Raw genomic sequence first — 16,939 nt, forward strand, 5'->3', positions numbered from 1 at the left:
CAACCCTTACCCCCTCCTACTGTTACCACTTTTGAAGTCCCCAGTGTCTGTTAGTTCCTTCTCTATGTCCATGTGTACCCACTGGTTAGCTCCCTTTATAAGTGAGAGCATGTAGTATTTGATTATCTGTTTCTGAGTTATTTCACTTATAGTAATGGCCTCCAACTCCATTTATGTTGCTGCAAAAGACATAATTTCATTTTTGTGGCTGTGTAGCACTCCATCGTGTGTGTGTGTGTATGTGTGTGTGTGTGTATATATATATAAATACAATTACCACATTTTTTATCCAGTCATCTGTAGATGGACACTTAGGTTGATTCCATGACTTTGCTATTGTGAATAGTGCTGCAATAAACATATGAAAAACTATACCATGCAAACAGAAAACAAAAATGAGCAGGAGTAGCTATATTTATGTCAGATAAAACAGACTTTAAATCAATAACTGTAAAAAAGGACAAAAGTTATTATATAATGACAAATGGTTCAATTTAACAAGAAGATATAACTATCCCAAATATATATGCACCCAATACCAAAGCACCAAGATCCATAAAACAAATACTACTAGACCTAAGAAAAGAGACAGCAATGCAATAATGGTGGGGAACTTTATCACCCCACTGACAGGACTAGACAGATCATCAAGGCAAAAAATCAGCAAAGTCTTAAACTGGACTCTAGGCCAAATGGACCTACCTAATAGACATTTACAGAACATTCTACCCAACAACTGCAAAATATACATTTTTCTTATCTGAATGTGGAACATTCTGGAAAATAGACCATATTCTTGGCCATAAGGCAAGTCTCAATAAATTTTTAAAAAATCATATGAAATATCTTTTTAGACCACTGTGAAATAAAATTAGAACTCAATATCAAGAGGAGCTCTCTAAAGTATTTGAATATATGGAAACTAAACAAGTTGCTCCTGAATGATCTTTGAGTAAATGATGAAATTAATACAGAAATTAAAAAGATGGAAACAAATGAAAAGAGACACAACACACCAAAACTTCTGGGATATAGCAAAAGCAGTGCTGGAAGCTTATAGTGTTAAATGGCTACATTAAAAAGATAGAAAGACCTAAAATCAACAACCTAATGTCACACCTCAAGGAACTAGAAAAATAAAAACAAACCAAACCAACAGCTAGCAGAAGAAAAAGAAATAGCAAAGATTAGAGCAGAATTAAGTGAGGTTGAGACAAAAAAAAAAAAAAAAAAAAACATGATATGAAGGATCAATGAAACAAAAAGTTGGTTCTTTGAAAAGATAAACATAATTGATAGACCACTGGCTAGACTAGCCAAGAAAAAGAGAGAGAAGATTCAAATAAACACAATCAGAAATCATAAAGGTGACATTACAATTGATACCACAGAAATACAAAAGATCAATTGAGACTACTTTGTACATCTCTATGCTCACAAACTAGAAACCCTAGGGGAAATGGATACATTCCTGGAAATGTACTACCTTCCAAGACTGAACTAGGAAGAAATAGAAATCCTGAACAGACCAATAGCGAGTAATGAAATTGACTAGTAATAAAAAATTTCCTGACCAAGAAAAGCCCAGGGCCAGATGAATTCACAGCCAAATTTTACCAGATGTTCAATTTTTGAATAATACAAATGCATTTTGTGTTTGGGAGTACATGTTCAAGTAACTGATAGATTTACAATGTATAAAGCACACAAGTAGATTCTCACTCCAAAAGTCATCTAAAGTGACTACTGATATTTGAAGGTGAATATTCTAATATTAGCAATAATTTGAATGGTGTGGCTTATTCACATTACTGATGATTCAGCACTAATTAGATATGGTGGTAACCCTGAAGGTCACAAGATTATTGATTAGTAAAAATTTATAGATGCCAGAAATTATGTTTAAGTATGCATTTGGCTTTTTGGCCTTTTTAAGGCTGAGGCTTAATACCAAGGCCAGAATTGAACTATATGCACCCTATTCATACTATGCACCATTTCTTAGGAGGTCTTTTACCAAAACAAAAGTATAAACCAAGAAAGTGGCTTCACATCTCCTATAGGTTCTGCATCAATCAAGTTAGTACTAAATTATGCCTTGCTTTGCTTAATATTTTTATTATTTATTTTTAGACAGGGTCTCACTCTGTTGCTAGGCTGAGTGCAGTGGCAAAATCATGCCGTATTGCAGTCTCAACCTCCCTGGTTCAAGTGATCCTCCCACCTCAGCCTCCTGAATAGCTGGGACTAAAGGAGCATGCCAGCATGTCTGGCTAATTTTTTGTATTTTTGTAGAGACGGGGCTTCACCATGTTGCCCAGGCTGGTCTCGATATCCTGGGCTCAGGCAATCTGGCTACCTTGGCCTCCCAAAGTGTTGGGAGTACAGGTATGAGCCACTGTACCTGGTCACTGCTTAATGTTTGTATAACTTAAACCTACCAACCTATTAATCTCTTTTAAAACTGTAAATGTGTTGTGGGCAGAAACCTTATCTTAGTTGTGTTTTGCCTCTTTAATTTTATAGGGAAATAATGATAATTTGGTAATTTTCCTCTAAGGATTATTTTTTTATTATTATTATTATACTTTAAGTTCTGGGATACATGTCCAGAACATGCAGGTTTGTTACATAGGTATACATGTGCCATGGTGGTTTGCTGCACCCATCAACCCATCATCTACATTAGGTATTTCTCCTAATGCTATCCCCCCACCAGCCTCTCACCCCCATAACTGGCCCCGATGTGTGATGTTCCCCTCCCTGTGTCCATGTGTTCTTATTGTTCAACTACCACTTATGAGTGAGAACATGTGGTGTTTGGTTTTCTGTTCCTGTGTTAGTTTGCTGAGAATGATGGTTTTCAGCTTCATCCATGTCCCTGCAAAGGACATGAACTCATCCTTTCTTATGGCTGCATAATATTCCATGATGTATATGTGCCACATTTTCTTAATCCAGTCTATCACTGATGGGCATTTGGGTTGGTTCCAAATCTTTGCTATTGTGAATAGTTCTGCAATAAACATATGTGTGCATGTGTCTTTATAGAATGATTTATAATCCTTTGGGTATATACCCAGTAGTGGGATTGCTGGGTCAAATGGTATTTCTGGTTCTAGATCCTTGAGGAATCACACACTGTCTTCCACAATGGTTGAACTAATTTACACTCCCACCAACGGTGTAAAAGCGTTCCTATTTTTCCACATCCTCTTCAGCATCTGTTGTTTCCTGACTTTTTAATAATCACCATTCTAACTGGTATGAGATGGTATGACCTTTTGGTTTTGATTTGCATTTCTCTAATGACCAATTATGATGAGCTTTTTTTCATATGTTTGTTGGCCGCATAAATGTCTTCTTTTGAGAAGTGTCTGTTCATATCCTTTGCCCACTTTTTGATGGGGTTGTTTGTTTTTTTCTTGTAAATTTGTTTAAGTTCCTTGTGATTCTAGATATTAGCCATTTGTCAGATGGATAGGTTGAAAAGAAGAAGATATGTAATTCAGGAAACAGTTTCAACTTAAGAGACAGAAGGAGAAAAACTCAAAATGACGGTGAAAGGAGATTTCAGGATAACAGCTGTGTACGAAGTATAGATGTCAACCAGTCCAGAGTGGAGTATGGTCAAATGGATCCAGAGATAGAGCTCCAGGAAGTGGAAAATGATGGAATACCCTCATTTATTTGAGTGATTGAGAGGAGTTTTCAGTGGATAGGTGAAAGCTGGGGTTGTATCAGTGATAAGTGTATAGAAAACTATATGAGATGCAAGCTCCCTACATCTCTTGTAGCTATTCTTGAAGCTAGGCCAACTAGCCATTCCTTCAGAGTTTTTCTCCTTCCGTCTCTTCCAGGGTTGGATAAAACACTACAGCACAGGGTGTGAGATCTAGGATCTCAAGTGGGCAGCCCATGAAGGGACTGGGTTAATGCAATCTAGAAGTACAAGGGAATACATTCACATGAGATGAATTTTACCAAACAAGAATCCAGAGACAAGAAGGAGCCTGGAGGACAAATCACTTTTCTTCTTTTCTTCTATGGTGGACATTGAAGCATGATTTATTCTTGCAACCCATCTGGAGAAGTCTCGGGTGCCAAATGAACAGACCTGCTGAACAACCCGCTGTGTCACTAAGTGGTTCTTTATGCAGCAGCAGCCAAGTGCAGTAACATGTCATTTTGCATTGCTTCACGTCTTTATTTGCCTCCCTTCCTTTTTCCTCAACCTCAGTGATCTGGATTTGCATCTCCCAAATAGAGTAACAGCACTTTAATTTTTGCTTCAGACTCTACTTTTTAGAGGCTAAGATTAAAACTAAGCAAATAATTAAAGAAGAAACTTCAAAGAAAACTAAAAGTAGGGCAAGAAAGAAAAAATAATAGGGTGGCTAGTATTATTATTATTAGGCTCAGTCCTTAATAGAGTTTAGTAGTAACATTAGAAATATTAAATATCCAACAATTGAGATATAGCTACACTGGAAGAATAGGGTAAGGGAAGAGATATTGGTCATGTAGTAGTGGTGGTTAAACAGAAATAAATCCTTATCTTCACTAGTAAAAAGTCAATTAGACTGAAAAACCAAAAAAGTTAAAGTTAAAAAAGAAAAGAAAACTAATGGAATTGAAAGGATTTCCCTCTTGAGAAAAGGAAATAGGGAGTTGATAGTTCCTCTTTTTTAAGTCTTACTGAATTAAGTCTGACTCTTCTATCATTTAAGTCTTACTGAATTAAGTCTAACTGACTCTTCTATCATGTACACTTATAACATTGATTTTAAAAAACACATTTCAAATGCTAGTTACTGATGAAGGCATGTGGTTTTATTGTTGTAAGCTATAAAATCAAACTAAGGTAGATATTTAAACTCTGAAGAAACTTCAGTTTTGTGAAGTGACTGCACATTTTACACTTCCTCTAGCTATGTATAAGATCTTATCCTAGCTGTTCCACATCCTCTCCAACATTTATTGTTGTTGATCTCTTTTTATTTTAGCATTTGGTATTGTCTTTTTCATTTCCGTCATTCCTGTTGATATGTACTGATATCTCATTGTGGTTTTAATTTGCATTTTGCCTAATGCCTAATGAGGTTGAGCATTTTGTCATGGGCATCATGGGCTTACTGGCCATTGGTCCCTCTTCTTTTATGTTCTTTTTAATTGACTTGTTTCATTCTTTAGTTATAGGAATCTTTATGCATGCACATACAAGTCATTTGTCAATGTTATGTGTTGCAAATATTTTCTCCCAACCTGTAACTTAAGTATTTTCTAAATTGTGTCTTTTAGTTAGAAAAATTTTTAAAATTTTGCTGAAATTGCAATTTAGCAATTTTTTCTTTTATGGCTAATATTTTCTGAATCCTCTGGAGAAAATTTTTTTCTTCTCTAAGGTCATGAAGACATTCTTCAGTGTTTCTTTCTAGTAACTTTCTAGCTTTTCCATTTAGGTCTGTGGCCCATTTATTGATGTGATTTTCCTTTCCTCATGTATCAGTATTCTATGCTGCATAACAAATTACTACAAATATAGTGATGGACAACAGTGAACATTAATTATCTCACAGTTTCTGTAGGCAGGAGTCCAGGCACAGGTTGGCTGAGACCTCCACTCAGGGCCTCACAAGAATAGAATCAAAATTGCCATCGGTTTTTGTTCCTTTCCAGAGCTTGGGGTCCTCTTCTATGCTGACATGGTCGTTGGCAGAATTCAGTTGTGGCTGAGGTCCCACTTTCTTGATGGCTGTGAGCAAGGGGCTGCTCTCAGTTTCTAGAGGCCCCTGTAGCTCAAGGGAGAGTCTCTCATTCCAGTTGGCTAAGATGGAGTCTTATGCAAAGTAACATAATCATAGAGGTGACATCCATCACTGGTGCCGTACTCTGTTGGTTAGAAATAGGTCATAGATCCTGCCCACACTCAAGAGGAGAGGGTGTAGAGCCAGGAGGCAGAGATCATAAGGACCATTTAGAATTCTGCCTACCTCACCCCATCACATTTCCCATATGACCTAGTACTTCCCCTCTGTATTAGTTCATTTTCATGCTGCTGATAAAGACATACCTGAGATTGGGCAATTTACCAAAGAAAGAGATTTACTGGACTTACAGTTCCATGTGACTGGGGAGGTCTCACGATCATGGCAGAAGGTGAAAGGCACATCTCACATGGAGACAGACAAGAGAAGAGAGCTTGTGCAGGGAAGTTCCCCCTTTTAAAACTATCAGATCTCATGAGACTTATTCACTATCATGAGACAATACGTGAAACACCAGCCCCCATGATTCAGTTACCTCCCACTGGATCCCTCCCACAACATGTGGGAATTCAAGATGAGATTTGGATGGGGACACAGCCAAACTATATCATTCTGACCCTGGCCCCTCCCAAATCTCATGTCCTCACATTTCAAAACCAATCATGCCTTCCCAACAGTCCCCCAAAGTCTTAACTCATTTCAGCATTAACTCAAAAGTCCACAGTCCAAAGTCTTTGGACAAGGCAAGTCCCTTCTGCCTATGAGCCTATAAAATCTAAAGCAAGCTAGTTACTTCCTAGATACAATGGGGGCACAGGCATTGGGTAAATACAGCCATTCCAAATGGGAGAAATTGGCCAAAACAAAGGGGTTACAGGGCCCATGCAAGTCCAAAATCTAGCAGGGCATTCAAATCTTAAAGATCCAAAATCATCTCCTTTAACTCCATGTCTCACATCCAGGTCATGCTGATGCAAGAGGTGGATTCCCATGGTCTTTGACAGCTCCACCCCTGTGGCTTTGCAGGGTACAGCCTCCCTTCTGGCTGCTTTCATGGGCTGGCACTGAGTGTCTGTGGCTTTTCTAGGTGCATGGTGCAAGCTGTCAGTAGATCTACCATTCTGAGGTCTGGAGGATGGTGGCCCTCCTCTCACAGCTCCACTAGGTGGTGCCCCAGTAGGGGGGCTCTGACCCCATATTTTCCTTCCACACTGTCCTAGCAGAAGTTCTCCATGGGAGCCCTGCCCCTGCAACAAATTTCTGCCTGGACATCCAGGCATTTCTGTACATCTTCTGAAATCTAGGTGGAGGTTCCCAATCCCCAATTTTTGACTTCTGTGCACTCGCAGGCTCAACACCGTGTGAGAGCTACCAAGGCTTGGGACTTGCACTCTCTGAAGTCATGGCCTAACCTCTACATTGGCCCCTTTTAGCCATGGCTGGAGCAGCTGGGACACAGGTCACCAAGTCCCTAGGCTGCACATAGCACAGGGACCCTGGGCCCAGCCCATGAAACCACTTTTTCCTCCTAGGCCTCTGAGCCTGTGATGGGAGGAGCTGACATGAAAACCTCTGACATGCCTTGGAGACATTTTCCCCATTGTCTTGGGGATGAACATTCGGCTCCCTGTTACTTATGCAAATTTCTACAGCCAGCTTGAATTTCTCCTCAGAAAATGGGCTTTGCTTTTCTGTCACATTGTCAGGCTGCAAATTTTCCACTCTGCTTTATGCTCTTTGTGCTCTGCTTCTCTCATAAAACTGAATGCCTTAAACAGCACCCAGGTCGCCTCTTGAATGCTTTTCTGCCTGGAAACCTCTTCCGCCAGATAGCCTAAATCATTTCTCTCAAGTTCAAAGTTCCACAAATCTCTAGGGCAAGGGAAAAATGCCACCAGTCTCTTTACTAAAACATAACAGGAGTCACCTTTGCTCCAGTTCCCAAGTTCCTCATGTCCATCTGAGACCACCTCAGCCTGTACTTTATTGTTCATATCGCTATCAGCATTTTGGGCAAAGCCATTCACAACAAGTTCCTCATCTCCATCTGAGACCACCTCAGCTTGGACTTTATTGTCCATATTGCTATCAGCATTTTGGGCAAAGCCATTCAACAAGTTCTAGGAAGTTCCAAACTTTCCCACATTTTCCTGTCTTCTTCTGATCCCTCCAAACTGTTCCAACCTCTACCTGTTACGCAGTTCCAAAGTCGCTTCCACATTTTGGGGTATCTTTTTCAGCAATGCCCCACTCTACTGGTACCAATTTACTGTATTAGTCCATTTTCACACTGCTGATAAAGACATACCCAAGACTGGACAATCTGCAAAAGAAAGAGGTTTATTGAACTTATAGTTCCACGTGGGTGAGGAGGCCTCACAATCATGGCAGAAGGTAAAAGGCATGTCTCACATGGTGGCAGATAAGAGAAGAGAGTTTGTGCAGAGAAGCTCCCCTTTTTAAAACCATCAGATCTTGTGAGACTTATTCATTATTACGAGAACAACATGGGAAAGACCTTCCGCCATGATTCCATTACCTTCCACCAGGTCCCTCCCATAACAAGTGGGAATTCAAGATAAGATTTTGAGGGGGTGGACACAGCCAAACCATATCACCCTCGTAGGTATTTACCCAAGAGAAATGAAAGCATATGTCCACAAAAACCTGAACACAAATTGTCATCAGGACTTTGTTCAAAATAGCCAAAAACTATAAACAACTTGTATGTCTAACAACAGAAGAATGGAAAAGCAAACTGTGATATGTTCATGCAATGAAATACTAGTTAGCCACAAAAAGGAATGAACTGCCAATATACATTTTGATATAGATGAATCCAAAAAATATGCTGGGTGAAAGAAGCTGGCCACAAAAAAGTACCCATGATATGAACTCAATTATATAAAGTTTGAGAAGAGGTAAAACTAACCTATGATGATAGAAATCAGATCAGTGGTTGCTTAGGAGGTAGAATTGACTAGGAGGGGGCATGAGGCAACTTTCTGGAATAATGGAAATGTTCTGTGTCTTGATATGCATTCATTAAAACTGACAAGTTTGAGGTTCACTATATGTAAAGTATACCTCAATTAAAAGGCATACATTATTTCAGAGCAAGCATGTATTGGACATGGGATTTTGGCAGGGGTCATTAAACTTTAGTGTATATAGGAATCATTTGGGGTGCTTTTTAAACGTGCAGATCCCTAGGCTTCACCCTAAAGATTCTGATCTAGGTCATCTGCAGTGGTGCCAGGGATCTGCATTTTTAATAAACAATTCAGGTTATTCTGGCACTGCTGGCCCCTGGAATAACCTTGGAGGAACACTGTTTAAGACATGTGCTCTCACTAGCTGGCTCTCTCCCTCCCTCATTCTCATCCTGAGCAGGGGCTTCTCATAGCTATCATGCCATGGCAGGGGGATCTAGGACAAATTGCTCAAATCTCAAGCAGAGAGAGGAGGAGAGACAGCTTGTTGTGCCTCTGGTGGGCCAAGGTACTCCTTACTCCCTGAATTTTTATATATCTTGGAGGGGAACTCTCTTGCATGAAGTCTCCCTGGGCACCAGTGAAGAAAGCTCAGGTGTGTACTGCCTGGGCTGTGCCTCAGACAGGCTGGAGAAGGAGCGGCTGCCTCCTCCCCACTTGCTCATGACCAGCCCCAGCCCTGGCCTAGGGGTACAGGCTTCACTGAGCATCAGCTCAACTGTAGCTGGGCCCGGAGCCCAGCCAGTCTCAGAATGGGTGCTCTGAGAGTGTCATCTGGGGAGCCTTGAGGCTCCCAGGGGCTCCATGGCTACACTTTTGGTTTGGCCCAAGATTAAGTTTTACTGTTGCTCCACAGTGCACATGAGACTTTTGTCCATGAGGCCTTCTCAAAGGTAGAGCCGTCTTTTCAGAAACTCATGGCAGACAGCAATGGGTGGACAGGGGTTGTGGGGCCCTGTGTCCATCTGCAGTGACCACAAGATGGAAAGTGATGAGCCCAGGCAGGTGCTGTGTGAGTCAGATTCAATGTGTACTTCTCATCCCAAGGCCACTCTTGGCATCAGATGCAAGGCTTCCACCTGCCCCAGGGGGTTGATGGCTCTCCCTGCACCCTGCAGGTATTAAGCTGTGCACCAATTCTGGCAGCCAAGCCAAATCAGAAGCCAAAGATGGAGGATGGAGTAACTTGAAAGCACTCTCTACCGTGAGAGCTTCCTGTGTGCCAGCAAAGAAGCCTTATGGTTTCTGGGGCCCAGGCTGGTCTCACCCAATGCACAGACCCATGTTTGAGCAGAGAAAGTTCTGTTGGACCAGGATGCGCCAACCACAGGAGGGAAGAATAAATACTTGAGAAATACCTACTAAGTGCCAGATGCCCTGCTGGGTGCTTTACATGCATTATCTCTAAGCCACACAACAGCTCTGTAAGCTAGGCCTTGGTCCATCTTGTAGATGAGAATCTGAGGCTTAGAAAGCTTAAGTAACTGGTCAAAAGGCACACAGTGCGAAGTGGAAGATCAAGGATCCATCTACCTTCACAGCCCCATATTTCTTCACTAAGATTCCCCTGGCCCATTACCAGAAAGAAGTGTGAGGTGGGCAGCTGCTGGAGGCTGAGAGCTAGTGGTTGATGCAGAGGTCACAGGGAAAAATATTCTAGAACATGTGTGCTCTCAGAGCACAGCCACAAGACTGGGCTAGAGGCTACTCAGCAGCACAGCAACACCTAGGAAGTTTCAGCAAATGCTTTCACCTTCACTGTCATTGTTGTCATTGTCATTATTGTTGCTATGCTGCATAGCCTGATGACTGAGGAAAACTGTGCACATCCCTTCTTTTATTTGAACTTACTCTGGGAAGTAGGTGTTACTATTCTGTTCATTTTTCAGATGCACAGAATGAAACTCAGAGCAATCCTGTCTCTCAGATCCTTCCTTCCTAGCAAGCTAGCTTTGGGCTAGAGAGCTCTCAGGACAGCCCCTCGCAGGGATGGGTGCAGGGCCTGGAGTAGGCTCCCCATCCCCGTCAGTGAGGGGCCCTGCCAAATATGTGTGGGTGTGAGCCCTCACCCAGGTGAGGGAGGAAGAGGACAGGCTGAGTGGATTACTGAGCATTTGAACTCAGCCTCAGAACAGCAAATATTGATTCAAGAAGCTGCCCAAAGGAGCTGACATTTTTATAGTCAACAAATAAAGCTGAGCCCCTCCCTGGCCCCCCAGTCAAAGGCCCTTTCTCTCTGCAGCTGCCAGGGTACATTTCTGTCACCACGTGTAAGAAGAGGAGGAAGAGCTGGTGGGAAATGTCCACAGGGGCCTGGTTGGCATCATCACCTCACCTTTAGGGAGAAGTGGGAGTCCCAGGCCCCAGGGTGTGACCTCGGTGAACCAGCCAGCTATCTGACAGGTACCAGAGTCCCTTGAGTTGGAGCAGAACCTGGCACCGGAGCCCCCAAAGACAACACACCCCTCCCACACACAGCTTCCTCATGTGGTGGCTTTTGGCAGCCTACACAGTTCTGGTTCCCTCATTCATGGACGAGGACCTGAACTCCAAAGAGAGATGGCTTTCCAAGGTAAACAGCCAGAGAGCAGTGAGGGCTGCCTAGCTCCTCTGTTTCAAGGCAAAGGGAGGATCTGCGCTCACTAAGCTACTCAGCTGGGAATGAGAACTCATCATCTGCCAGACAGCTGTCCTTGCCCTCTGGGCTCAGCCAGCATGACCCACAGCCTGGCATTCCTGAGCCTGCCTTCACGCTTTGTCCAGCAGGTCCCTTTACCTGAAATCCTCCTACCCAAGCACTTTTGCAGGAGGACTCATCATGCATGACCCTGCTCACTTTTCACCTCTTCAGGGAATCTTCCTAACCCGCTTCCCACCCTCACTCCCGCCTCTGGCAGGCAGAAACCACTGCTCCTTCCTTGGTGCTCCCAAAGCACATGCTTCCTTCCTGTCTTGTGGCATTTATGCTATTTTGCCTTGGGTGGATCATTTCTTAGATACTTGTCTCAGTCCTTCTTGGTCAAGAGCTGCAGCAAGAGGTTGGTTCATTTCTGTTGCCCCAACGAGCCTAGAAAAGCCCCCAGCACTTGGCAGGTGCTCAGTCAATGCTTGCAGCGTTGAGTTAGAATAATCCAAAACATGTGACTAAGAAACCAGAGTTGCAAATTCAGCTGCATCTAGACCAGGTAAGGAAGCTGGCCATGCCTCAGGCAAGCCCTCCCTCAGGAGGGAGATTTGTGCGGGCCCCAGGAACTCTGCCATTATTTCCTTTACTGGCCCACCCCGCCTTCTATTCACCCATCTATCCATCACCTAGGGGTTGAACTTCTACTCTGTGTCTGGTCCTGGTTGAGTGCTAGGAAGGCAAAGGCCAGGGCACACACCCTTGAACTCTTCCTGGAGCTGCTGGAGCATGCCAGGGTATGTGATGAGGGGAATCTAAGAGGCCTTTTGCCTTCAGACTTGTCTATGGGTCAATTGCGGTGAGCTGTGGCTCCAGGGACTGTGGCTTTTGGGCTTCAGGGAAGAGAGGGCAGCTCTTCACTGGACTGGCACCAGGCAGAACTGTGGAGTAAGCTCCATTATCATTATTGCTATTCACCGAAAGTCCTTCCCCTTCTAGGCATGTGGCAGGATTAGATTTCTCTGCCCCTGTGGTTGGGTGGGTCCATGGAGCTAGCTCAGGGGAGCAGTGGCACAGATCACTTCTGAGCTGGATGTACAATTGGCCAATTTAATTGCCCGTGTAAGACCCTCAAAGGTGCTTTTCTCTTGAGTAGGCAGCTCTGCGCCTTGAGGTTATTCAAGGATCAGCCGTGGGTCCCAGCAGTGGATCTCTGCATCCAAAAGTATCCAAGGCAGCTCCCCAAGTGGCACCATTTCCCAGAGAGCAGGAAGGGGAGCCAGGTGTGCAGGCCAATGACTTGTCTTTAGGAAGATGACCCGGAGGTGTCTTTGTTCACGTCTTTTAGCCTGCACTTTGTCACATGACCACACCCACCCACAAAGGAGCCTAGGAAATGTAGTTTCTAGTGGGGCAGATGTGTGCCCATCTTAAACTCAGCCATGTTCATTACTAAAATGAAACAAGGGAGAATGGATACTGGGGACAATTCGTGGGCTTCAACAGACTCACTCACCATCTCTCTCTAAACAAATGCCTGATTCTCCCAGACAAGCCCTGGCCCCTCCCTGAGACCGGCTGAGCTGCTGACCTTTTCTCTCCTCTCACCATCAGCCTTCCAGCTCTGAATGGCCATGAGCAAAATGCCTCTCTTCCTAGGGCTTCCTTTCCTTATCTGTCAAAGAAGGGTTTAGAGCAGTTGATTTCTGAAGTTCCTTCCAGAACTAACATTTGACCACTGTGGTTACGGGCAAGTCCTTTAACCTCTCTGGATTTCAACTTCCTCATCTAGAAAATAGAGATAAAAATAGTTCTTACCTCCAAGGGTTGTTGTGAAATCATCTATGGTTATGCCTGACATTTAAGAAATAATCAATAAATGTTTGCTGTAATCAAAACAATATGAGTTCCATTTGTCACTTCCTTAGAAAGAATCTGATGTACTCATTCATACTAAGGTCTAAGGCAGAGTCAGCAGATATCCGGCACAAGGGCTGTCATAATCCTCTCTTCTGTTACCGACATCACTGATCAATGAGGGCATTCTCCTCAGTAAGTGAGGATACAGCCACTGGACGCAGCCTCCTGGCTTTTCTCAACCTAGGGCTGCGGCAGCCTCCTCCTCTAGGAAGCCTTCCTGGTTCAACCCCAGGCATGATGAAAAACAAAAAGCCCACACATACCCCTAAAATGGCTCTTGTTGCTCCATATTATGTTTTCTTTTTATTTGTTAGTGCCCCAGCTAGACTGTGAGTTCCATGCTAGAGGGACTACAATCAGTTTCTCTATAGCCTAGATGAGTCTGCAGAACATTGCAGATGCTCAAAAAGTGAATTCTAGATCCTGTGGCTGGCAAGTAGGGGATGTTTGGGGGACGGGCAGTGTGTTGGCTTTATAAAGTGGATGGCTTTATAGAAGCCCATGTTCCTTGCCTCTGGAAGCTGCTGCAGGAGCTGTGGGGAGGGTCTCCCTGCCCACATTTCCCCTGCAGGGTTCCCTGGGCACCTCCAAGTGAGCTGGTGCAGCCACCACACATGGGGAGAGAACAAGGCCAGCAAACATGGAGGCCCCAAGACTGCTCCGAGGGAGATGCCCTCCCCAGGCCCCGTGGGTATCTGCTTGCCCCGCAGGCTCCCAGCTGCAAGGCAGTTCCAACTTAGCAACTAATGGACCTGCGAGAGCTCAGGCACCTGCCTTCTGCTCTCACAGACCTGTGCTCAGCATCACCTTGGCGATAGAGTGGAACATGGGGTGGAGTGGGGGGAGCTGCCATCTGTCCAGTCAATGCAGAGAGGTGCTCCCTGCTGGGGCTCAGGCAGGCCAGGGAAGGGGGAAGGGCAGTGACCACACTGCCTTTGGGGGATCCTGTTGAGCTGCATGGAGTGCTCATGGACACAGGAAAAGCTTGGCACCTGAGACCTGGTTTCCAGTGTCCTGGCTCATGGCCAGACAGTGTCGTCTGATTTTTTTGTCTGTGGAATATGATTGCCAGATCTGGGTCATATGTGACCCATGCAGAGTAAGCGATGAAGCCCCGGGAAGGCCTGTGTGTGCCATCTGCCTACCCTCTGGCCTGTCACAGGCCCTGAAATACCAGAATCAGGACAAAGCCAGGAGGACCCCTTGCTAAGAAAAGTTCCTGGTTACTCAATCTATTATTGCAGCTGAAGAATCTGAGACTCAGGGAACATTAAGTGACTTCCAAAAGTCACACAGCTTGGAAAGCAGGCCATATACCTCCAAGCATAGGGCTTGCCTCACTCTCCCACAGGACTCTGCAGCAGGGACCTCCATTTCTCTGCCAAATCCTTGATACCACGCTCTGGTAGCAGACACAGAATCCAATGGGCAAAGGGTCACTTAAGAATAATATTTTTAAAATATTAAACATTTTATGTCCATGAACTGGAGTGATCCAAACAGCACCCCTGGGCCAAGTGCTGGGGAGTGGGATAGGTGTAAGCCATGGACTGTGACCTCCAGGACCTCGGGGCTGGAGATGGACTCACAACTACTGGATGGTGGCACCTCACGTATTCAATGATGGGTTGGTGGCATTGCCCCTGGCATCCTTGGATAAATAGTAATATTAACACAACATACACCTGTTGTGCAGGAAGAGTACGTATTGAGCTGTGTTTTGGGCTTTCCCTTCACTCCCACTGCTTCCATGTTTGCATGGTGCCTTCTCCAAGGTCAGACAGAGCCATCCATTGCTTTCAAGAGGATTGGGATGTTACAGCAGGAATACAAAGGAAAGAAAGTCATTACGCAGATTTTTTACTTCCAAAAGAGGTTTTTAAGTCTCCCTTTCAGGAGCAATAGTTATGAAAGTCATTGCTTTTAATTTATAAAATCAAGGAGCATTGAGTGGTAAAAAGATTTTTTGCTAATCCAAATTGATCACACTCACTTATTCAACAGCTATTTACTGAGAACCTGTTTTGTGACACACTGTTCTGGATACTAAGGCTGTTGTTTGTCCATATACACAGTGGGAAAGAGAACAGATAAGGAATTATTCTGCCCCAGGAGGGGTTGGGATTACCCTGCCTTGTGGGCTTGAGGGTGGGGGTAAAGTTGAGGTGGGGAGTGTGGAAGGAAGAGATGGAGTCCAGTGGAGCCTCCCAGACCAGGCGTCTTTGGGAAGAAGAGGGAGTCAGTGTGGAGGACACTGTCCAGCTCTGCTCAGGTACCTACAGCCTCCCATAGACATGGCATTGCCCTTGGGGGGGAGTCTTCATAGTGCATGGAATCTGTGCCAAGAACTGGCACAGCCCCTGGCATCCCGTGGTGTCCTGGACCTCCAGGAAGAGAGGTGTTCCTCCACGCCTCCGGACTTGACCCTGCATGGCAACGCCTCCTCTTCAATGGCCCGGGACACTCAAAAGCCATGCCCTCCTAGAGGACGGGACCCAGGCTGGCCGGAGGGGACATACTTAGATGGAATTGAAGAGAAGCAGTTGAGAATTTCCGTCTCAGCGCACAGTGGGGATCACACATTCATATTGGCACTGTCCGCCTGACACCTGTTACACTTCCCTGTGCCATGTCACTGCCCCCTGCTCATGATGCTCCCTACCTTTGGGTCCTAGGTACTGCCGCTATTTCCATTATGGACAGAAAGTTGAAATTCCAAGTGCGTCGCTCCTTTACCCAAGGCCATATGTTACCAAGTGTCAGAGCTGGAATTCACCCCCAAATCTGATTCCAGAGTTCTGAGTCCCTGGCACCACTGCACTGCTTCTCAGAAACGTTCCTGTCAATGGACTAATAAGCTGGACTGCAGGGAGAACATTTGTTGGTGACAGAACCAGGGTCCAAAAAGTTTTGTCTAGCCAGAGTGATGGTGACTCTAACAAGACGAGTATGAATCAGGTCCAGCTACATAAAAACCCAATGCCCGAGTCATGGTTGGGTGGCAGCAGGCCCAGGGCTCCCCCTTGGCAGCTGTGCAGGGTGTGGGGGCTCAATGGGACATGGAGCCAAACTGGCCCTATTTGATCCTTGGCCACATTGGAGCCCAGAACAAGAGAAAGAGAAGTCACTTTCACTCTGCATTCATCAGTCCATGCAGAGAAGGCAGAAAACCTGGAGCCTCTTCAGGGAAAGAAAGTGTAGAAAGAACCTGAGCTCAGGCAGGCCTGGGTTCCCACATCCCTCCACCATGTACCTGTGTGTGACCTTTGACAAATTACTGATCTCCCCAACCCAGTTTTCTTGTCCTGTGAAATTGGTTTAGGAGTCTACTTTGCCTGGTTGTTGTAGGGGTTAGAGCTAAATAAGCTGTAGAAGGATACCTTCTAAATGGTATTATTCAGAGGAAACTAATCAAAATGTTGATAGCTGACTTGTTGAAAATCAGTCACCAGGAAAAGGAATTAAGCTTGTTCCATATCCAACCAGAACCAAAGAATGATTAGAAGTGGCCAGGAAATAGATTTTGGTTGGACTTAAGGCAGCGATTCCTGGCCTGGGCTGCATCAGGAACAGGGAAGCAGGTAGGCCCAACAGCTGCTTGGCCCATATAGGAATCTGGAGGATCGAAGGTGATG

General features: G+C 44.6%; 1 annotated feature.

Moving 5' to 3' along the window:
• Positions 11,071-11,315: a silencer, noted in NCBI's record as "fragment chr1:118105543-118105787 (GRCh37/hg19 assembly coordinates)". NCBI's record gives its function as "represses an EF-1alpha promoter that drives an FKBP-Casp9 reporter gene in an ReSE screen in HepG2 liver carcinoma cells {active_cell/tissue: HepG2}" and the evidence as "EXISTENCE:reporter gene assay evidence [ECO:0000049][PMID:32094911]".

The sequence above is a fragment of the Homo sapiens genome, chromosome 1 (genome assembly GCF_000001405.40).
Source record: "Homo sapiens chromosome 1, GRCh38.p14 Primary Assembly".
In the NCBI taxonomy this organism is placed as follows: Eukaryota; Metazoa; Chordata; class Mammalia; order Primates; family Hominidae; genus Homo; species Homo sapiens.